This window comes from Homo sapiens, chromosome 7, assembly GCF_000001405.40.
Source record: "Homo sapiens chromosome 7, GRCh38.p14 Primary Assembly".
NCBI lineage: Eukaryota > Metazoa > Chordata > Mammalia > Primates > Hominidae > Homo > Homo sapiens.
Window position 1 is genome coordinate 48,313,307 of NC_000007.14, and position 24,151 is coordinate 48,337,457.

The 24,151-nt window shown below is 40.8% G+C and overlaps 1 protein-coding gene across 29 annotated transcripts in view, besides 2 other annotated features; it reads left to right on the forward strand.

The window, feature by feature from the left end:
* Positions 1-24,151, forward strand: part of ABCA13 (ATP binding cassette subfamily A member 13) — a 476,040-nt gene that overhangs the window by 141,849 nt on the left and 310,040 nt on the right. For 27 of the 29 annotated variants that reach the window (XR_926914.3, XR_926915.3, XR_926919.3 and 24 more), the window contains 3 exons: positions 926-1,103; positions 3,851-3,990; positions 22,116-22,229. Coding sequence is in view for 26 of the 29 variants with exons in the window: in XM_011515130.3 (XP_011513432.1) it covers positions 926-1,103; positions 3,851-3,990; positions 22,116-22,229 (432 nt within the window). In the remaining 3 variants the exon portion in view is untranslated. Of the gene's footprint in view, positions 1-925; positions 1,104-3,850; positions 3,991-4,748; positions 4,986-6,497; positions 6,829-22,115; positions 22,230-24,151 lie in introns of those variants that run through there. The other 2 variants (XM_011515148.3, XM_011515149.3) reach the window with 2 other exon arrangements.
* Positions 3,321-3,825: an enhancer, noted in NCBI's record as "NANOG hESC enhancer chr7:48356224-48356728 (GRCh37/hg19 assembly coordinates)". NCBI's record gives its function as "activates a minimal SCP1, AML or CMV promoter by ChIP-STARR-seq in primed H9 embryonic stem cells {active_cell/tissue: H9 hESC(primed)}" and the evidence as "EXISTENCE:reporter gene assay evidence [ECO:0000049][PMID:30033119]".
* Positions 8,464-8,963: an enhancer, noted in NCBI's record as "H3K4me1 hESC enhancer chr7:48361367-48361866 (GRCh37/hg19 assembly coordinates)". NCBI's record gives its function as "activates a minimal SCP1, AML or CMV promoter by ChIP-STARR-seq in naive H9 embryonic stem cells {active_cell/tissue: H9 hESC(naive)}" and the evidence as "EXISTENCE:reporter gene assay evidence [ECO:0000049][PMID:30033119]".

Here is a 24,151-nt window from a genome sequence, read left to right on the forward strand (position 1 = left end):
TCTTCCCACATCTAAAATTTGCATTAGACAGCAAAATACAGGAATGAAAGTACCTTTTCATATCTCTGGAAGCAACAGCATAACATAGAATAAGGCCTGGCATCTCTCTAAAAACTGCATGAAACTGATATTGTTGATCTACATTCCACCAGTGTGGAGATTGGGATAGTACATGCATTATCTATAAAGTAAGAAATTACTAACTCAGTTATTGCACAGATGAGATTTCAAGGGCCTGTTTAACTTAATTCAGAGAGCAAATTGCTTTCAAAAACCTTAAAACATATATTTACTTATAAATAATTGGCTTACAAGTTACAGATCATTTACTGCAAATGCAAACACAAACTTGATTTAGTTTAGTGACTTGATGTTAGGTTTTGTTTGAACTCTTTTTGCCTGGGATGGAACTGACTGGGCACGAATGAGGAGGAGTGTGGAAATTTTAGGGTTGGACGTGTAGGATGAGGAGCAAGATAACAATGTTCTCAGAACTGCCTTGGAGACAGAATGTAAGTCCATCATGTGATAGATAATTTGTATAGCTATAAAATATCTGGATATCTTGGTAGCATAGACATACATTAAGACTAGTAATTAGTCTGAATTAGTGATATTTTATGGATTAATAATTTATTACTGGACAAATAGTGTAAGGACTTATGTGTGTGTGTGTATGTGTGTGTGTGTGTGTGTGTGTAGGTATGACATTTCCCTCTTCTACCAGGTATGTTGGCCAGAAAAGTTACCGTAGTGTTTCAAATGGTATCCCAAGGACAGAAAACTCTAAAGCAGACATTCCATTCTTTTGACTTGTTGAATATCTTGTACATTCAGTGGAGGAAGGAACTAGACTTTCAGAAGTGTGTGAAGGAATTGTTTTAAGTCACTATGTAATTGCAATTTAGTTTTCTTATTTTCTCAGGTTTCACAAAATGTCCAGGCCAGAAGTTCAGCTTTTGGTTCTTTCCAGTTTGTGATGAAGATGGTTTGCAAGGACCAAGCATCATTCCTTAGCGATTCTAATATGTTTATTAATTTGCCCAGAGTTAAGGAACTCTTGGAAGATGACAAAGAAAAATTCAACATTCCTGAAGATTCAAGTAAGACAGTAGTAATATATATATATGTGTTTAGATTCGTTTGTATCTTGATAATTGGCCTTAAATTATAGTAAGTATTCTGTCTGTGTATAAGGTTGCTATATACTGGCATAGAATCTTCTGCTTCCACCTCCCCAAATGCTGGCATGGCAGCTGACTTTGAACGGTTCTAGTGCCTTTGAGCACAGACAAATCCTCTCACCTGAGTCACTAAGGAACTGTGTCACCAAGGAAATGTCTAAAACACCTGAAACCCCAGCCCCATTGGTTTCCCAGGCTAACCAGTATTGGTGAGGGTCCAGGCATAAAGACCATGAGCACTGCTTTGGTCCATGCAAATGGCTATATTATAATAACGAAGAGAACTTGTCTGTGGCCACCTCCAAATTTGCTCTCTATGAAGCTCAGGTACAAGTGAATATGCATGATAGGTACAAACGAATATGTCACGATGGGTACAAATGAATATGCCACGATAGGTACAAATGAATATGTCACGATAGGTACAAATGAATATGTCATGATAGGTACAAATGAATGCAAATTAATACATAATTTTTTGGCCCCAATTTAAGTGAAGATGTTTTTATTAGAAAGGCAGAATAAACATGCTGGTGAGGTTTTGGAGTTTAGACGGTTCAGCTCCATCAGTTGTGCATTTTTGGACACATTGTTTTATGTGTCTGCATCATGTTGGTTTCATTTATAACGTAGAAACAGTAGCACCTGGCTCATAAGCTTATTGTGAGATGCAATGGATATGAGGAGTGTTGGTGCCTTAGCATAAGGGTATAAATGTATCCTAGTGTATTCGTTTTCTATGCTGCATGACAATCATTGCACACTTAATGGCATAAGAAAACACACATTTGTCATCTCATAATTTCTGTAGGTCACATGTCGGGATTTCTGAGTTAACATTTTTAGTTTTGTACATATCGTGACTATACTTTTTTCTGCAATAAAATTGCTCCTGTTCATATTAAGCTTGCAATGTAAAGAGTAGGTCATTAAATTTCAGTAAGAACAACTTCTATAATTAATGGCTTAAAAATGTATTATGTAGTCATATTCTTTTTTTTTTTTTTGAGACGGAGTCTTGCCCTATCGCCCAGGCTGGAGTGCAGTGGCTTGATCTCGGCTCACCACAAGCTCCGCCTCCCAGGTTCACGCCATTCTCCTGCCTCAGCCTCCCGAGTAGCTGGGACTACAGGTGCCTGCCACCACGCCGGCTATTTTTTTGTATTTTTAGTAGAGACGGGGTTTCACCGTGTTATCCAGGATGGTCTCGATCTCCTGACCTCGTGATCTGCCTGCCTCGGCCTCCCAAAGTGCTGGGATTACAGGCGTGAGCCACTGTGCCTGGCCTATGTAGTCATATTCTTCATTTATACTTTGGGGAAAGTATTTCTATCAACTTTATTGTCAAATAATTTTTTTCCTTTCAAATGGGAAGTTTGGGAAGATGAAAGTAACATTTAAAACAACCACAACAATCATACCTTGAGTATTTATAAATCATAGTATCAAATCTAAGATAATATTTTCATTTTATTCTTATAAAGCTAAAATAATATTTTCATTTTAAATGTTCTCTTGATGAGTAAAGAAATAGTTATACTGAAGTATTCCTCACTAGCTTAAAACCTTATAAGATTTAGTTCCTACTCATTATGGTGATGAAATCTCTACCCTCATCAGGTGACCATTGATTTAGACAATTTAGTTAAGTAAATCTTTAATTGAAATCAACTAGCATCACAAGACTCATGAGAGCCACCAAGAGGGATTAAGTACTTGCGTGAAAATAAGGCAATTTAATATGTCAAAATTCGTAAGTTTGATGGTTCTGCACGGGCTCATTAAAGACAGTTCAGTAGTAACTTGTAAAGCTAACTTCATAAAAAAAGCTCAGTTCCGGTCTCAATATTGTGACTGTTGAAATGAGAATTTTCTTGATGAAAAACCAGATTTATTTTTTGAATTGTCATTTTCATTTTCAAGTGTCCATGTCATTATTTAATACTCTTTTTGATTACTTAGTTTGAAAATGTAAGTCATTCTTTCCTGCCTTTGAAGTCACTTAAGTGAACATAGCATGAAGTTTCTTATGAGTTGAGAGCTGCTGAAAACTATAACAGGGAAAAAAAATCTTATTTTACTTCCTGTCTTGGTTTATTTGGTGTTGCTATAAAGGAATATCAGACACTGGGTAATTTGTAAAGAAAGAGGTTTGTTTGGCTCACAGTTCTGCAGACTATACAAGAAGCATGGCACCAGCATCTGCTTCTGGTGAGGCCTCAGGCTGTTTCCACTCATGGCAGAAATTGAAGGGGAGATGCCATGTGCAGAGATCACAGGACAAGAGAGGAAGCAAGAGGGGGGAGGAGGGAGATGCCAGGCTGTTTTATTTACTTATTTTTAAACAAGCAGCTCTCTTGGGAACTAATAGAGTGAGAACTACACTCATTACTGTGACAATGGCACCGAAACATTCATGAGGGATCTGCCCCCAAGATCTAAAGACTTCTTGTTAGGCTCCACCTCCAACACTGGGGATCAAATTTCAACTTGAGGTTTGGGAGGACAGATATTCAAACTATAGCACTCCCAAAGTTCAGAGTGGTGTCAGAAAAAAATATGGCTGTCATTGAAAATGAGGCATCCTGGATATGTGAATGAATTTCCCTATTAACCTAGGCATCGTGTATCATTAGCAACTTTTTTTTTCTTTCTAATTGCAACAGCACCGTTTTGCTTGAAGCTTTATCAGGAAATTCTACAATTGCCAAATGGTGCTTTGGTGTGGACCTTCCTAAAACCCATATTGCATGGAAAAATACTATACACACCAAACACTCCAGAAATTAACAAGGTCATTCAAAAGGTAAGTTAAAATAAATGAGAATCATATAGACCATACATACACTAAATCAGGAAGGAATCTTTAAAAATGTCTGACATAATTATTATGCGCCTTGGATTATGTAGAAGGCTCTTGTTTTGAATCTACTTCATTTTAGCCTGAGTGTTTTTCCTGTCATTGTTATTGTTAAATCTGGATTTGCTGACTCCTTCCCTTAGAGGACACTTTGGGGGTTGGGGTTGTTATTTAGAATAATTAATGCAGTGAACTTACAGAACTCTAATATGAAAAGTCAAGGACAGTGAGACAGAGAGGAGGACTGTTTGGAGTAATTCCAGGAAAACTTCGAGAACAAATGCTAATCTGTTTTGCTTGGTGCATCCAACAATTACGAAAGAATCAGACATGATACATACAAACTGATGTATTAGCAGTTAGTTAGTATTTTGGTTAGTGATGTTTCTGAATTCACTGTAAGGCTTTGCTTCACCCTGTGGAGAATAAGGTGAGATGAAGACACCAAAGCAGGGTGTATCCAGGAGGAATTGAGACACTATGTGGCTCTGCTTATTTTCCTTTCCTTACATTGTTTAACCTCTCTAATCTATTTACTGCAGGATTTGTTATTATTAATATTTGCACTTTCTTTTTAAATAATTGTGTTGTATTTTCCTGGAGTCTTTTCTTGCCTACTAGGGGGCCTGTAAGCCTACAGGCACCTGGAAAGGGGACATTTTACCAAGGACACAGGAATAATTTGGTCTTATTGTCAAACACAGAAGAGAAGATACCTGCACTATTCATGATAAGCTTCCAAGCCTCAAATAGCATTAAAAATTTGGAAACTGTGATCATATGGCATGGGATCATATGAGCAGTTAAGTCATTTTTGATCAAACTTGCCTTCATGAGTTTCATGCTTCTGACCCATGGTTGCTGTGTGAGGTCACAGCACTGTTTCCTGTAAGTTCCCTTTCCCACTTTGCCACCTACCTCAGGGGCTGCATTTACCTCTGCCTACTCTGAATGGTATTTAAACTTTAAAACATTTATATAATTTATTTAATTTTTGTTTTGTTTTGTTTTTTGGAGAGACAGACTCTGGCTCTGTCACCCAGGCTGGAGTGCAGTGGTGCAATCATAGCTCACTGCTTGGCTGAAGCAGTTCTCCTGCCTCAGTCTCCCGAAGTGCTGAGATTACAGGTGTGTGCCCCCACGCCCTGCTAACTTTTTAGTTTTTTTTTTTTTTTGTAGAGGCATAGTCTTGTCTACTTCCTAAAAAAAAATCTTGAAAGTGTCCTTTCAGAGGGGTATTTGCCAAAAGTCTGCACTCTCACATGGAACGACATTGATCTCCGTATATCCTCAGTGTGAGCTGTTCTGTTGGGCAGGAACTCTGGCCTCACAGCTGCCATCCCAGGACTGGAGCCTCTGCGCCATTACTCGAATTTCCTTAGTGTAGTAAGCTTTTTAGGGTTTTGGATATTTAAGGAATTTCACAGAAAATGGCTCCATATCACAGCTCTATTTTAAATTCAAAATTTAAAAATAGGCCATGACTTTAAAAAAAGATGATATGCTATATTATTATGTTAATATTATTAATATATGACTATAGCATTGCATATTATGATGTATTCTGCAGTATAACAATTAGTGTGATGATCTCTGCTTTTAAAGAGCTCACCCTATTGTGGGGAAGAGAAGGCAAATAGCTGAAGAAATAAGTTAGATATACTATGCTATAAAGACCATTCAGTGCAGCAGAGGCACAGGCTGTGGGGGGCAGCTGGTCTCCCTGGAAAGAAAGATTGGGCAAAGCACTTGGAAGGATGGGTTTTCTAAGCCCCTGTGAGGTGGAGACGGGAGGATTGTGGGCCTGGACAGAGGTGTGGGGAGGTGCCAAGCCCCACATGTGTGTTCTGAGAATGATGAGAATTTTTGAAAAATCACCAAAGATTTCACTGGTTTTTGCTTAGCCCCTTTTTAGATATTGCAGGCAGTATTGAGAGCTGATGTCTTTTTTACTTATTTAAAATGGCTAGCAACTTTGCATGCAGGTATCCTGGTTTTGCACTTGTAAAGCTGATTTTATGGCATTGTACCTGGGATGAATTATCCTAGCAGTCAGCCATGGCTATTTGGTTTTATGAAAATTGTTTCTAGTCATTAGACTCATGGTCTAAAGTCCCACAGAGCTGGGAGACGCTTGTAGGTTTGCCTCTTGGGCTATGCGAAGCAATATTATCTACAGTGTTGGAGTGGCCCATGCTATAAATTATTTAAGACGTGGTCTTTTTCTCTCCATTACTTCTTGTTAGGTGGAACCATCTGAAGTTGCCATTTTTGCAGGAAAAAAAATCTATAAAAGTTGGTAATTTCATTTGGTTTAACTTGTAATAGCACAGGTGACACCCAGAAGCATGATGCTGTGGTAAGAAACGTGTGTATGTGTGTTGGAAGGCTGGATTTTGGTCCCCCTTTTCCTAACTCTCTGTGACCTTGGGCTTATTGCATTCTCTTTGAAGGACTCTTCTCCTCTATCTGTGAAATGAAAGACTTGAGTAGATCCGTGATTTTCAGTCATCTGGGAGACGGCTCTTCATGGGGGATGCATCAGAATTACCCACGGACCCTTAGTAAGGCCTTCCGCCTCTGGGCTCTGATATCCCCATCCCTGAACACTTGTACCCCTCACACCCATCCATATCCTTCCACAGAGCTGTGTGCACCTCCATCTATCAGCCTTAAAGACAGTGGAGGTCAAGCATTTTCATGAACTGGAAAAAAAATGATGGCCAAAACTTCTAGAGAGTGTTAAAAGGTAAACTTAGGGACATTAAAATTTCAACAAGTTTATTTGAGCATTCGGTTATTCATGAATTAGGCAATGCCAGACAATTCAACCCTCCACTGACTATGTTGGGATGTGGGATGTGGGGTAATAGAAGAAGCTTGTATGAAGTGTTTGCTGCAGCAACAGGGAGAAAATATATTCGTTAAAGTCAAAAGTCCCTAGTTGGAGGTTAGTTGGAGGTTTCTGATTGGTTAATTTTAACTTTTGTTTTACTGTTTGCATTGATTTGGGTTTTGGTTTGCCTACATAGGAACTCAAGGTGCTATAGCTGTCTTAGCCTAACAGCCTCCTGATCAACTATTTTAACAGGAGTTAATTTAACTCATACTCTAAGGGTGTCAGACTCAGTATTTGCAAAGAAATTGATGCTATTTCCATGTCATTAGTCAAGAGATTCCAATGTATTAGTATGCTCTTTTTATTTTATAGGTCAGAGTCGTGTTCAGTTTTGGCCCTAGGCTGATGAAAAATTGAAGAACAATGTGTAGACACAATGTGAGCTTGAAGGGAGGCTATGAAAGAAAAACAGAAAAAAGAATTATATTGTTTTCCCAAGAATAAGTAGCATGCCTGAAATGATACTTCAGTGAGAATCACCAGGCACATTCTAGGCCACTGGTGCACAAAGTAGGTTTAGTCTGGGCTTCTAAGGGACGTATAAGCCCATGAAAACAGACCGTCTTATTTTCATCTAGCTCTCTCCCTTTGGCTAAAGGACAGAGCTTTGAACTGTCACACTCAGTGTCCTCCTTTGTGAAACTGGGCTAAATCATAACTCTCAGTGCCATTTGGAAGTGGAAAAAATACCAGAAATAATATTCAGAAAATAGTAAACCAATGGGATCTCCTCCCCTACAAGTGTTATTCCCAGAAATGCATTCTGCCATTGTTGCCTCTGGGGAGTGGGGAAGACAGATGTCACCTCAGAAAGAGGAAAGAGATGGTGGAGGCCAGTGGTTCAAACCGGGGTGGGGTTGGAGAAATTTTACCCAACTGGGCACATGTGACAGTATCTGAAGATATTTTTAGTGTCACAAGTAGGAGGCGCTGCTGGCATCTGGAGGCTGGAGGCCAGGGATGCTGCTATACATCCTACAATGCACAGGAAAGCCCCCACCCCCAAACAAATAATGATCTGGCTTACAATGTTAGTGGTGCTGAGGTTGAGAAACCCCAGCATAAAGGGGTATATAATGCCAGACGGGAGCGGGTGGGAGCCCCTGGGAAGAGAAGGATGAAAGTAGAGGAAGCTGGTGGTCAGGTGGGCATCCTGGCTTCTCCTCTACTGGTGATGGTCCCAAACAGGGGCTGTGGGATGATGGAGGAGCTGCAAGCTGAGGGCCTTGGCCCTACCCATGTGTCTTGGGGGATAGTCCCTGTGTAGGCCGGCCCTGAGCTAGCATGTGGTCCTAGCAGTGTGGCTGAGCAGAGGAAGGATACCTGAATTAGTGTCTCTGAGCATGGAGTAGAAGGGAGCCAGATTTCCCTGACATCCATGTCCTGAGCCAGTGTGTCAAGTGGAGGCCTTGGGGACCTGCTATGAGCCGGCTGCCGTGAGAGCGAGGTGGCCTCAGCACCAAGCTGGCCTAGGCCAGGCTGGCAGAGGAGATGGCTGAGGCTCAGAAAGCAGGAGCCGAGGTGAGAAGGAAGCAGCAAGGGAGAAGGCAGTGCCAGACCCCAAGGTTCCAGGTAAGATGTGGGCTGGGCAGGCCAGGCCCTGGCAGCACCACAGACAGGCAGACGAGGCACATGGCTGTGGGAGTCCTGGGCCCTCCACCCCTGACTGTCACCAGGCTGCCCCTGGAGAACATCAGGGGGTTTGAGCATTCACCCCAAAGAGCCTGAATCACTCAGAGGAAGCTGTTTGAACAGGGAGCCACTGTCAGCAGGCAATTTTGAGACTTTGTTCTCTCTTCACCATCCCCAGTGGGTAAAAACTGGATCAGCTACAGGAAATAGAGAACTACCTTTTCTTTGCATCCCCAAGCAGTGAGGTGTCAGATATTTGGCTTTGTAGCATCATCTGTCTGTATGCATAACATCAATCAGGAAACAGAGCAGGTCCCATAAAATGGCAGCCCTACGTTGGGAACCTGGTGATCCTCTGTCTGGAAGCCGCCTGCAGAGGAGGGACTCTGATAGTTATGTTTGTTTCCAAGTCTTCCCATGCTGCTCAAGATGGCAAAGTTTTTCAGTAACCTTGTGTATCACTCCAGACATGGCAGCAGCCCACACATACCTGGAATTTAAATGCCATACTTCCTTGGGATCCAGTGTGCCAGAGACGCATGTCCTCACCTGACCACTGTGTTGGAGAGGTCCTTCCTCCTTTCAGGCTGGCCTCAGCAGGTGGCAGAGATCAGAGAGAGGCCACCAGCGGTGATCCAGACAGCCACGCCATGTCTCTCCCTGTTCCCACTCTCCCTGTCCTCTCAATGCCCAGGGCAGCCGGTGCTCCTACCTCCAGTTCCAGCTGTGGGGGGCTCCAGCTGTCTTTCTCTTGCCTTTGTTCCTGGAGCTTATCCTCCAACCTTCTTAAGAAGTATCTTCTCTCCTCAGGCACCCCCAACAGGCACTGTGTGTTTTTGCTTTGTTTTTAAATTAACATAGAGTAAGTTCGGCAGGCTTTTTTTCGGTCGACAGCTCTCACATTTGTCTGGATCAGTACACAGAACAGTTCCATTGCCCGAGCCCACACCAAATCCCTCATTTTGTCCCTTGGTAATCACACTGTCTTCCCACCCTAAACCCATCTGTTCTCTATCACTATAGGTAGGTTTTCTTTGTGAGAATGCCCTATAATGGAATCATCATCTGTAACCTTTGAAAGTGGTCTCTTTTGCTCAGTACGAGGGCTGTGATTCACCCAGGTCATTGTGTGTATCAGCAGTTGCCTCCTCTTTATTGCCAAGTGGTATTCTGTGGTGTGGATTCACTGCAGTTTGTTCGTCCATTCACCCACTAAAGGGCGTGTGGGTTTTTTCTAGTCTTTGGCGATTATCAGTGGAGCTCTTACCTTGCTTTTATCACTACTTGAAATTATCTCATTGACTTACAGGCGTACTTGTTTATTATTTGTCGCCTGCTGTAATATAAGCTTCATGAGGGGCAGGAGCTTGTCTGTCTTCTTGGCCACCGTCCCCAGTGCCTAGAAGAATGCTAGGAATACCTTCAGCAGTGGCTGTTGAATAAGTTAAAGAATAATAATTATTTGGCTCTTGTACCCATTTGAGCCAAAGACATTCTGGTGTTAAATATACAAGGGAGATAGAGTAGACTGTATGCCAAGCCCTCTGCCCGCTGCCAGAGCCAGGCCTTAGCTTTGCAGATATGCAGTAGCTTTGTCTGAGTTTAGCAGTGGTGGGTGCCATCAAGAAGATTATCTCCCAAGGTCATTAATTTCATTTACTGAGCTTGGGCCAGGCACCTTATGTGGATTATCTCATGTATGCCTCACAACCACCACTGCAGGTAGGTACTAATATCCCCATTCTATAGCTAGGAAAACCAAGGTTGAAAGAGGATAAGTTAGCTTGACCAGGGTCACACACCTATCAAGTGGTGGAGCTGGAATTCAGGCCCAGTGTATTATTTTGAAGCCTGTGATATGGTTTGGCTGTGCCCCCACCCACATCTCATCTTGAATTGCCATAATCCCCACGTGTCAAGGGCAGGGCCAGGTGGAGATAACTGAATCACCGGGGCAGTTTTCCCCATACTGTTCTCGTGAGAGTGAATAAGTCTCATGAGATCTGAAGATTTTATAAATGGGAGTTCCCCTGCACAAGCTCTCTTCTCTGCTGCCATGTAAGACATGACTTTGATCCTCATTTATCTTCTGCCAAGATTATGAGGCCTCCCTAGCCATATGGAACTGTGAGTCAATTAAACCTCTTTCCTTTATAAATTACTTCGTCTCAGGTATATCTTTATTAGCAGCATGAAAACAGACTAATACAGCCTGTATTAGTTTTCTCAGGCTGCCATAACACAGTACCACAGATTGAGTGGCTTAAACAACAGAAATTTATTTTCTCAACATTGTGGAGGCTGAATGACCATGATCAAGGTAATGGCAGGACTGGTTTTTCCTGGGGCCTCTGGCTTGCAGACAGCCATCTTCTCTTTGTGTCCTCACATAGTTGTCCCTCTGTGTGTGTGTCCTAATATCCTCTTTTTATAAGGACATCAGTTATATGGATTAGAGTCCACCCCAATGACCTCATTTTAACTTAATTGATGATTTAAATAGGATCTTTAAAGACCTATTTCCAAACAAGGCCACATTCTGAAATATCGAGGGTTAAGACTTCAGCATATGAATTTGGGAAGCACATAATTCAGCCAGCCCACAACAGTGCCTCTTTGGAATGATCTTTTACCACTTGTAAATGGAAATAATTAGAGCTCTCTATGAAACTTGTGAACCCTGTCCTTATGGTTTTGCAGCTGGTTATGGAATCACATTGAAAAATAGTAGCCCAGGGAGGCTAGTTTGCTAATTACTACAGGAACGTAGGACTGCATACTAAAAACAAAAAATAAGTAGGAAGCACTTGGAAACCAGTTGCAGGTCATCTCTCAGCAGCCACCTGTCCTCGGGACCTATATGAATTCCCCACTGAACCTTGGATGCTCACATGCATGGCGTTTGTTCCTTGGGAACGTTCCAGAGCAGGGTCCAATCTCACTCATCTGTGTTAACTACCTAGCACGGTACAATGATGCACAGTGTTTGCTTGTAAAAAGCTTGTTAAGCTGCATTTATGTATGAAGATTTTTGTTGCAAAGCCATTTGGAGGAGGAGAAGATGTGCTTCGAATTGCTTTCTTAATTAAAAATTTTCCCTAAAAATTGAGCTAAACGTTACTTCCCCCTTCCCTTTGGTCACTAGAGACCTCCTCTGTCAGAGAACCAACAATGTCTTTTTTACTCTGACAATAGTTTGCTCTCAAGTTACTGAAGCAGTAACTTAGACATGCCTATCCATGGGAAGCCTGCTAATTTGTGCCTGAGCAAATTTTTGCAGACTAAGGATGGCTTGCAGCTGGTGGTAGGAAAGCTGATCCATAATGGCCAACTTTTAGTTTTCCCTGTGGTCCAGGTATGTTCTGTAAATAGGACTTGGTGCTAGGTATATGAGCCAAGGACTGAGAACCAGGAACCTATTGGTGGCTATGACCACCCTGTGGCTATTGTGCAGAACCCTACCTTACATGAGGCATCAAAGCATTGGCATCCCTGCCTCAACCTCCCTCATGCCCTTAGATTAGCTTGTGTGGCTTCGTACCTTTGCCAGCATCACATCCCAAGAGGCTTTTTTTTCTTTTTCAAAAAATATCAGACGGTGCTTAAAACTGTAGCTTTTGGTACTTTCAGTGATCTTGACATATTGAAGAAATCTGATTACTTTTTCTTTTTGTTCTTTTCATGGCATCTGCATTTTTTTGCTGTTTCCTGAGTGCAGTGTCCATTTTGTTATTAGCCAATGTATCAGTCAAGGTTCAAGCAGAAAAGAGAAAACTGGTTAAGTTTAATATGAATAATTATTACTATAAAAAGGCATTAGAGTAATGGTGGATTGGTTATCAACAGTGAAGAGATCTCTAAAGAATGCAGCAATGGCGGATACAGGGAATAACTCTTGCCCCTAGAGCTGGGGCAGAGAACCCAAGGAAGAAACAGAACTACAAGTGACTTCCCCATCCAGGCTTGAAATCCAGACCCTACTGAAGTTAGCACAACCATGGCCCTTAGTATGGCAGAGAAAATCACTGAGGTGAGTGGTAATTGCCATGAATCTGCACTCTAGGGTATCTGGAGAAGTTCTACACTTTTCAAATCTGCAAGGCTATAAAAGGGCATACCTGAGGAAGTCATCTAGGTGGACATGCCACACCTGCAGAAATCCCTGGGACACCACTCTTTGGGATGCCATGGATGTTGCCTATGAGAAGGTGCCATGTGCTGCTGGTTATGCGCATTGCAGGAGCTGAGGTTTAGAGAAGCTAGATGTGGGGGAATCCAGGAGCTTGCTCCATGGGAGCCTTTTGGAAGCAGCACACTGGAATCTGGAAGAGAAAATCCCTCTTCCTTCACTGTCCCTCCAGAGCCCTCTTCTGGCAAAGCTTAACAGTGTATCAACTGGCAAGGGAGAATGTCTAAAAGGCCCAACTTTATTATTGCAGAACAGGCAATGAAGGGTGAATTTCAAGTTGTGAGAAGGTAAATTAATAACTAGCCGGCTGTAAATTGGTTTCTTTGTTTTAGACTATTGAAGTACAAAGAGTTTCCATAAAGCACATGAGTTCTTAAATGTAAGTTTTAATTTATCAAACATATATTGAGTAGAGGGAAGAATTACTTGCTCTAATCCTGACACCGCTAAGAGCTAATGTTGGTTGCAAACCTCATTTATGCCTTATACCTACAATAGGGGTTGGCAATTGTCATACACGTTTTGCAGGTAAAGAAAGTGAGTCTTAGGGGTAAGTAACCTTATCAAAAGCTGTCAACAGGAGGCAGAGATGGGATTTGAAACAAAGTCTGTTTAACTCTAAGGCCAATGTTTTATTTTTTCTGTTATATTTTACTGTATTCTCCAAGTAGAAATTCACATGTGAGTATATCTATTTCTGCCTCAGAGGAACTGCTTGTGGTATGAAGGAGATGTGGAGTCCCAGTGACAAGGGCATGGGGAAGACTGCTTCCTATGGAAGGAGCTGGCCTTAAGCTGCCAAATTGGAATATCGGGTTATGATGGGCAGAGATCAGCTCTCAGTCTCATCTATCTGGTATAGTGGATTCTGATTGGATCTGGAGCAACAGAGCAGGACAGATAGAGAGTTTTACATTTGCTCATAGTTCCAGAACTCTAACACCAATAATTTCACTGTTTTAAATGCAGATTGAATCACTCTTTATTGAGCACTTACTTCTGTAAGGTTAGAGGAACCATCATGTTCACTGTATTAGTCCGTCCTCACACTGCTATGAAGAAATATGGGAAACTGGGTAATTTATAAAGGAAAGAGGTTTAATTGACTCACAGTTTCACATGGCTGGGGAGGCCTCAGGAAACTTACAATCATATTGGAAGGTACCTTTTCACAGGGCAGCAGGAGAGAATGAGAAATGAACAAAGGGAGAAGTCCCTTATAAAACCATCAGATTTCGTAAGAACTTACTCACTATCACAAGAATAGCATGGGGAAACTGCCCCCGTTATTTAATTACCTCCCACCATGTTCCTCTCATGACACGTGGGGATTAGGGGAAGTACAATTCAAGATGAGATTTGGGTGGGGATTATGGGAAGTACAATTCAAGATGAGATTTGGTTGGGGACACAGCAAAACCATATCAGACGCTTTCCCAAGTCCTCCCTCATTTACTTCTCACAAGAACCCCAGGGAGTAGACATTGTTAAATCCATTTTATAGATTAAAAAAGTAGTAAGAATTGTGAATGTTTATATTCCCAAGTTTATTAGATGATAAACAGAAGCTCATGGCTTGAATCCAAATTTGGCAGACTCTGCAGCCAATTTATTTTCATTGGCCATATTTACAGTATTAGTTATAAAATAATAAGGATCCTGTATACTAAAGCTTCTTTCACTATCATCAGTTTGGGATACTGGGTACCTAATTTACCTCATTTTAAAAAATAACTTTGTGTAGCAATGCATGGCATTTCACCCATCCCCAGAATCCTGACTGCCTTCACCTTTGGGAGGATGAGAATGAAGTAATACAGTTTAAAGATATTTATTTGTTTGTAAGCAGTAGAGATGGGAAACAGCTTGGCCATCAACACAGAATTTGGTGAATCAGATATAGACTGATCTTCAGGAGAATATCAGGCAAAGTGAAGAATAAGCACAGGCTATTGCTAGTGTTGTCATTAAACGGACACAAAGCCTGATAACTAACTTCCATAGAAATAAAAATTCTTGGTTCCATGATAATTATTAAAGGTGAAAAATGCCAGTGAAGTGGAAGCTGCCCAAGCCTGGAGTCTACATAAACTTGTACGGGCTGGAAGTGCACAGGCTCTGCACATATGTGGGGCTATTTACATGTGCAGAGCAATGGGGAAGGGCACTGGTGGGACCTTTAGGCAGGTCAAGGTCTTTCCCAGGGAGCCCTACAGAGAGAACAAAATCCATTGCAATCCACTTTCTGACTGTAGGCATCAAATCAGTTATTGGAAAGCAAGTTGTCCGTGGTTTGGTGAGGCTCTCAGATGGGTGAAAGTGGCCAATATGGAACATTTTATCAAAACTCAGCAAAGTTGCCCAGAGTAGAAGTAATTACATTTTACAAGTGGCCTTGTTTGATATAACCTCCTATAAAATAGCAGTTCTCTAAGACAGCAGTATCAGTAGAACTGTGAATGTACTTTTTCTGTGAGACTAGATAATATCCAAACCCTCAGATGAGCATAGATGTTGCTCTTTTACTGACCTTGGATACCTGCAATTTTCCATCATTCGTTTTCCTGTCTGCTTGGAAATGGTGGTCTATTTGATATAATCTTAATTAATTTATTAGTGAAATAGCACATTAGAACATGAGGAAAAATTATAAACATATAGTTCAAAAAATAATAAAAAAACCCAAGATGTATTTTAAACAAATGAAAAGATGCTCAAACTTAATAGTAAGAGAAATGCAAATCCCCAAAATGAGATATCCACAAATGAGATATCATATCAAAATGCTAAAGGCTCACAATTTGATATATTTTGTTGTTTGGAGGTATTAGGAGAGAGTCACTCTCATGCATTGCTGTTGGGAGTGTATTCGTGTGAAGTCTTTGAGGCCATGTTGGGAATATCTATCAATACTACAAAGACAGCTATTCGCACATGCAAACAAGGATATTTATTGTGCCATTGTTTGTAAGCAGTAGAGATGGGAAACAGAGACTGGACATCAATACAGAATTAATTGAATCAGATACAGACTGATCTTCAAGAGAATTTCAGGCAAAGAAAGAACGTGGATAGTATGAGTGAAGAAAAACAGAATACCAACATAATGCATCTGTTTTTGTAAACATATAGATAAACTCAGGGGGTCCACATTGAAGAACCAATAACGATGCTTCTTCTGCATTTGAAACTGGGCTTCTAGGGGACAGAGTAGAACCCTTTTGAAGGCTTGGAATTTGGTACAGTGCGAAAAGTGTATACAAGATAAAATCCCAGGAAGTCTTTTAAGCTAGTTATTTCATGTTCTATTGAATTTGTGTGCTATATTGAGGACATAGGGCATTATAATTGAGTGTTAGCATCCTAGGGGGCTGGCTGTGTGCCCTCTAAATGCCCTGTCTAGCCATGTCCTCTGTATGGGAAGGTCAGGGCACAAGTCCCTTTTGTTTCAGGGGCAACAGACCAGCCTTTCTCTTTTCCTCCCATCCGTCCATCCATCCATCCATCCATTTATCTATTCATCCATCCACACATCCATCCATCTGTCCATCCATCCATCCATCCATGCATCCATCCATCTACTCTTGCATCCATCTATCCATTTATCTATCCATAAAATCATTCATTTATCTGTCCATCCAACCATCCATCCATCCATTCATCCATCCATCCACACATCTATCTGTCCATTCATCTATGCAATCATCCACCCGTCTATCCACCCATCCACCCATTCATTCATCCACACATCTATTCATTCATCCATCTATCCATGCATCCATCCATCCACACATTTGTCTCTTCATTCATCTATCCATCCATCCACCCACCTATCCACCCATTCATTCATCCACACATCTATTCATCCATCCATCTAGCCTTCTATCCATCCATCTATCCATCTATGCATCCATTCATCTATCCATCCATCCATTTATCTATTCATCCATTGATCTATTTATCCATCCATCCATCCATCCATCCATCCATCCATCCATCCATCCATTCATCCATCCATCTATCCATCCATTCATCCATTAATTTATCTATCCATCCACACATCCATCCATCCATTCATCTATTTGTTTATCTCTCTGTCTGTCCATCCATCCGTCCATTAATCTATCAATCCATTCATCCATTTATCTATTCATCCATTCACATATCCATCCATTCATCCATGTATTCATTCATCCATCCATCCACACATCTATCTGTCCATTCATCTATCCATTCATCCATCCATCTACCCATACACCCATTCAGTCATCCACACATCCATCCATCCATCCACCCATCCATCCATCCATTCATCCATCCATCCAAATCTATCTATCCATCCATTCATTTATCTATTCAACCATCCACACACCCATCTATTCATCTATTCATTCATCTGTTTGTCCATCCATCCGTCCATCCATCCATCCATCCATCCATCCATCCATCCATATATCCATCTATCCATTTATCCATTTAAATCCATCCACACATCCATCCATCCATCCATCCATTCATTCATGCATCTATTCATCCATCCATCCATCCATCCATTCATCTATCTGTCCATCCATCCATCCATCTATTCATTCATTCAACCATCGATTCATCTATCTATCCATTCATCCATCAATCCATTCATCCATTTATCTATTCATCCATTGACACATCCATCCATCCATCCATCCATCCATCCATCCATCCATCCATCTATACATTAATCCATTTATTCATCTATCCTCCCAACCATTCATTCATCCATTTATCCAAGATGGGGAGAAAGCAGGCTCTTATTAGTATGAAGTGCATTGAGGGGAATCGGGGGATGCTGTATCCGTGGGTTTTTCCCTTCCTGATTTTGGCCAAGTGAAAAAGAAATATTTTTCTTTTATCTACTCTGAATATGTCTACTTGTTTCCTTTTCAAATCTTCAAATTCCTCTGCCCCATTCCCCTTTGATGCAATAAGAAAAAGGTCTGAATAAGGAGGGAAGAGGGTGATATAACTAAGAAAATAATTGATATAACAAAAAATAATGAATACAACAGAACAAATAAACCCAGAGCTAATATCTTGTGCTATGACCTAGTCACATTCTTTTAATATTTTCCTCTATCTTAAAAGAAAGAATAGCTGCAAGTAAGAGAGGAATAAATCATTTTCTAAAATTAAAAGTTAGTAGGTGGTGTATAAATGAAACCAAAGCCCAAGACATTTCTCCTAATTAAATAAAATGGAAATAAGACTTTAATCACAGGATATCTGAAAATCCTGACACACTTTTAGTTGGGATTATCAGCTCTGAGCCTCATTAGTTCCCTATAATCTTCTGAAGGTGATTAATTAAACAATATGATTATGAATTCATAGATTTAAACGTGTTAAATGTATTTCAGTCCATTGCTGTTTTTATTTATTTTTCTTGATGCTCAAATGATCCCAACTGTGGTCAGTGGGCACCTCTTCATTTAGAATTCCATGTTCTTTTAAAAATTAACTTTTTAATTTGGAGGCAGTTGTAGATTTACATGCATTTGTAAGAAAAAACATGGAAAGATCGGTGTACCCTTCACTGGGTTTCCTAATGGTAACATCTCATGACACTACCTATAATGCAGTATCACAAACAGTATTCTGCCATTGATACAGTTCACTTGTCTTCCAATTTCCCATTTTACTGTGTGTGTGCGTGTGTGTATTTAGTTTTATGCAGGCTTAGCACCTGTGTAGGTTTGTGTATTCATCGCCAGCACTGAAGCAGAACAACCATATCACAGCAGGGTCTCTTGCTTTACCTTTCATAACCACAGCCATTAATTCCTACACCACTCCCCCGCAAGTCCCTGACCCCTGCCAGCCACCAATCAGGTCTTCATTTCTATAATTTTGTCATTTCTAGATTGTTGTATACATGGAATTATACAGCATGTAACCATTTGGGATTGACTTTTTAAACTTAGCATAATTCCCTAGAGTAGTATCCATATTGTGCAGATATCAGGAGTTCATTCATTTTTATTGCTGAATAACATTCCCTGGTATGCATGGTCCACAGTTTCTTTAACCATTTACACATTGTGGGACATCTGGGTTGTTTCCAGCTTTTGGCTATTGTGTCTTCTGTTTCTCTTTTCTTGCCTTCCTGTGGATTACTTAAACATTGTTGAGCATCCTCACCCTAAGACATGATTTTAGGATACCCATTCTAAAAAATAATTTATTGATACTGTCTTTGAGTGTATCTTTTTGCATGATGTTCTTACAAAGAACGTCTGGCTCTAGATATTACAATACAGACATACACACGTGGCTTACCACAGTTCATTGGCATTGAGATTTTACCACTTCAAACCAGGTATGGAAATCCACTTCGACTTAGGTCCCTTTACCTTCTCTGCTTTTAAATATCATCATCTTGACTATCAGAAGGTGTTATGATTTATGTTTTAATCATCAAATACATTTCATAAAACTCATGGAAAACAGTATGGTCTGTTGTATTCACCCACATTTCTGCTCTGTTGTTTTTTTCTTCCTTCCAAATGCTCCAAGATTCCGTTTCATATTTTCATTTTTTAAAGTTTTTCTTCATCTGAGAATGTCTTTATTTTATCTTCATTCCTAAAAGATATTTACATTAGATTCAGAATTCACAATGACAATTCTTTTCTTACGTCGTGATAAATGTTAGGCTACTTTCTTCTGGCTCCCAGGGTTTCAGATGAGAGATTTGCTAACCTTTGAGTGGGTGTTCCCTAGAGGTAACATGTTATGGTTCTCTGGCTGCTTTAAAGCTTTTACTGTGTTCAGATTTTAGAAGTTTAATTATGGTGTGGTTTAATGTAGATTTCTCTCAGTTTATCATATTGAGTGTTTGCTAAGCTTCCTGAGTCTGTAGGTTTTTGTATTTCTACAATTTTAGGAAGTTTTTCAGCCATTGTTTCCTCTCATACTCTTTCAGTTCCACTCAGTTTCTCCTCTCTTTCAGAGACTCTAATGACACCAGTATCAAAATTTTTATTATTGTCCTATAGGTACTTGAGGCTCTGTTCACTTTCCTATCAATCTCCTTTCTCCCTGTTGCACAGATTGGGTACCACACATTGATCAGCTGTCAGGTTCAGTGGTTCTCTCCTCTGCCATCTCCATTCTTCTACTGAGACCATCTAGTGAGTTCTTGTATTTGCGTTATTGCATTGTCCATTTCTGGAGAATCCATGTGGTTCTTTTTTATAATTTCTTTTTATTCATTGAGATTTTCTGCTATTTTGTTTGCTTCAAGACAATTTGTAATTGCTTGTTGAAGCATTTTTTAAATGATGGGTGCTTTAAAACACTAGCCAGGTTATTCCAATATCTGATGTGTCTCAATATTGGCATCAATTGATTGCTTTTCTTAATTCTAGTTGTCTTTTCTTTGGTTATTTTTATAATGGGTGGTTTTCAATTGTATCATGGGTATTCTAAGCAATATAATAGGAGACTTTGAGCCCTATGTAAAAATCTTTTATTTTTGTGGGTAGTCATTCTACTTAGGCTTAACACACAGATCTTGGCCCACTTTGTGTGCTGTGGTTCCAATAAGAGTTTAATTTTGGTTTATCTGATGCATCTGGGACTCCCTGATGCTGCAGTATGAAAGGACAGATGAGATTTCTCCAGTCCAGCTGCCTCCATGTTGGGGAGATGGAGCCTCCAGCAGTTGGAGAAGAAGGGGACTTCTTAGGAGCCCAGGTCTTTGTTGCATCAGGAGCCATCCTGCTGTGGGGCAGCCAGTGTTTCCAGGCCAGGTCACTTGATATTGTGGAATACTCCTTGCCCTGTCTCCTGGGTGCTTGTTGTGGTTCCTCTACCCTCAGGGGAAGAACAACCATTTGCCTGGCTATTCATTACCAGTGTCATCCGAGCTGATCCCCCTGTTGGTGTTGCAGGGGCAGCTTGGTTTGTTGGAAGGACTCCTGGTCCCTCCAGAGAGGCAGCCCAGCTAGGCTGCCTTCTGTTACTAGAATGTTAGAAATGTGAGGTATTTTGGCTGGGGATTTTAATGTGTGTGTACGTGTGTGTGTGTATTCTCTATTTGCAGTTTTTAAAGATTTTACAGATCTTCTACATGTGTTGCATTAATAATGTTATTCAACCTTTGCATATCTGTATGCATTTTTGGTTAGTATAGCTGGCGTTTACTGAGTATTTGCTATGTGCCAGGCCTGGTGCCAAGGTATTGGAATACTAATTTGTCTTAATACTTACAAGAGTCTCTATCCCTATTTTTTTTTTTTTTTGAGATGGAGTCTTGCTCTGTTGCCCAGGTTGGAGCACAGTGGTGCAATCTTGGCTCACTGCAAGCTCCACCTCCCGGGTTCATGCCATTCTCCTGCCTCAGCCTCCCAAGTAGCTGGGATTACAGGTGCCTGCCACCGTGCCCGGCTAATTTTTTGTATTTTTTAGTAGAGATGGGGTTTCATTGTGTTAGCCAGGATGGTCTCAATCTCCTGACCTCATGAGCCACCCGCCTTGGCCTCCCAGAGTGCTGGGATTACAGGCGTGAGCCAGCACGCCCGGCCTCTATCCCTATTTTTATTGAATACTGAAGCTGAGAGTTCAAGGTTTTTCTCTGTTTGCTGTGCTGGCTGCTTTTCAGCTCCTGTGCCATTGTGAGGGTCTCCTAGTGACCCTAGGGAGATGTGGTTAGACTCTCAAACCCTCCTTAAGCATTGTCCCTTTGGCATTTAGACTATTTTCAGTATTAAATGTAATAATATTGCAATAGACATCTTCATGGAAATAACTTTATATTTTATTTAAACTATTTCCTTAGGATAGAGTCCTTTTATCTTGAGAGAGTAAAGCATGTGCATTTGTTATGGATCAGTGACTGCATTTTTCTGATACCAAATTATTTTATAAAAGTCTTATGCCAGTGTACTCTGCCAGTAGCAATAAATGAAAAAATATACCAATTTTATTCTATCCTCAATAGTGTTGGGTACCATTAAACAAGTAAGTATTAGTTGAGAATGTATCTTTGAGGAAGAAATGTGGGCAAGCATTGATTAATTTGGTCAGTATATACTGGGGACATATGCTGTACCCAGCAGTGACTCTAACACTGGCGAGACAGCAGTGAACAGGCAGGTAGCCCCTGGATGGACAGAGTCAAGGAGAGAGGTTTCAGAGGACTCACCTGTGATGTGAGAGCATTGGAACTTTTCATGTTATTGAGGAAGGCATTAGCTGGCCTGCAGGCAGATCTTTGCTCTGGTGGCCACATCATATACAGTCCTTGTTGGAAGATTTATCTTAATATAACAGCTGAATAAGAGACATATCCAAATATGCTTCATTTTGCAGGCTAATTACACCTTTTATATTGTGGACAAACTAAAAACTTTATCAGAAACACTGCTGGAAATGTCCAGCCTTTTCCAGAGAAGTGGAAGTGGCCAGATGTTCAACCAGCTGCAGGTGAGTGGTTGGTCTTTGCCACCGAGGGATGGGGAGCTACTGCTAGGGCATGTCCGAGACATCAGGGCTGCCCTGTAGAAGATTCTACAGAGTCACATCAGGCATAGTGGTTCTAGTTGACTCATATAATTGACATAAAACTAGAGATGTGTGAAAACTTTTTGTGAATTTTCAGTATTTTACCCATGCAAAATGGTATCGTTGTGAGAATGATTAATAATTTAATAGTAACTTTTTCTTTAAATTCTTTATTAAGCTTAATGCTTTTTAGATTGTTTGCATATTTTTGAATTGCAGGTCTATTCAACAATCAATGATCATTTCTGCATATTCTGTATTGATAACTTAATATTTTTAAAAGGAACGACTTACAGTTTAGAATGGCCTGACTCCATTAGAGTCTGACAATCATTAATATAAAACTTTAATTCAGGTAGATCACCTAATAATTTTTTGGGCATTTGTGTAGCTTCAACTTACCTTAACTCTGATAGGATGAGAAAATATGCCTGCATTTTAATTCATGTTTAGTTTTTTTATTAACTTACCAGGTAAGTAGTTCAGAGTATGGACTCAGGAGCTAGAATCCTTTGAGTTTGATTCCCGGCTCAACCCCTGCCACCAGTTGTGTGATCTTGGGCTAGTCACTGAAGTTCTCTGTACCTTGAGTTTCTTCCCTGAGAAATGAGGAAGCGATAGTAGTTATGAGGTATAAATGGGTCAGGATACATGGAGCCCTTGGAATAGGTTTTGACACAGAGAAAATGCTACTGTGTGAGTCTGAGTTTTCCAAGAAGCAGATGCCAAGACAGGATTACATGTGCAATAATTTTATTTTGGGAGATAGCTGCTGAGGAAAGGAAGAGGAAGCTAGACAGGTTGGAAGCAAGGTTGTCAGTGGTGATGCAAGTCTGACCCTGAGGAAAGGAGAGAGGGAGAGGGTCGGGTGGAAGCATCCTGGTGGGCCCTGCAATTTAATGGAAATCAGATAAGGCCGAGAGGGAGTCACAGAGCTAAAGTCAGTTATCAAGGTAGGGGTCCCATGTCAGTGGAGTCCTGTGGCTCCTGGGAGTGGGCCTGATGTGGTGGTCATTGGTGAGAGACAGCCCATGGGAGGCGTGGCCTCAGGGCAAAGTGCCATGGATTCAGAGTGCAGCAGTGGGCCCTGCCATTTCCGTTTCCTGCAGTTGGAGGTCTGCGATGTTCATTCTCACAGCGACCATGGCCATATGTATTAGCTAGTATTGTAATCTTCTTTAATTTGTTTGTGTATGGATTAATTTGTTAATACAGACATCAGCAAACCTTTGCAGTTAATGGGACAGATAGTATTTTAGACTAGATAAGGTCTCTGCTGCAACTATATATAATCTCATGCAATATTATAAGCACCAAGTCGAGAATGTACAAATATCTAGGAGAACATAAAACAGTGCCTAACTCGGCCTCAAAAATAGGGCAGCTCCTTGTGAAGTCTATGGTGTACCTGAGTACTACTTACTAAGTAGCCATGTCAGAAATCAGTCACATGTTCAACCAGTTGAAGAACTTATCTTCCAAAGGATAAGACGGCGTAAGTTGTTCCTCTATTTCTTAGCTTTGGGATCATGCTCAAGGGAACTCGCAGTACCTTGGGTTTGTAGTAGTCGATGTGTATGTTGCAGGCCTGGTTCTGCCACTAGATGGAGTGGTTAGAGTCTCTGAGGAAAGCCCTAACTTTGCTCTGCTTCCCTGTTCCATCAGTAAAAGACAACAGTACCCTCCTGGGGATGTTGTTGAGATTAAATGACATGATGCATAATAACTACCCTGCACATTGACTGGCAAATAGCGAATGCCCAGTGAAGGAAGATAAATAAGATTCCAAAAAAGAAAAGCAAACACCAAACTTTCATAATAAAACCTTGTCATCCTTAGACAAG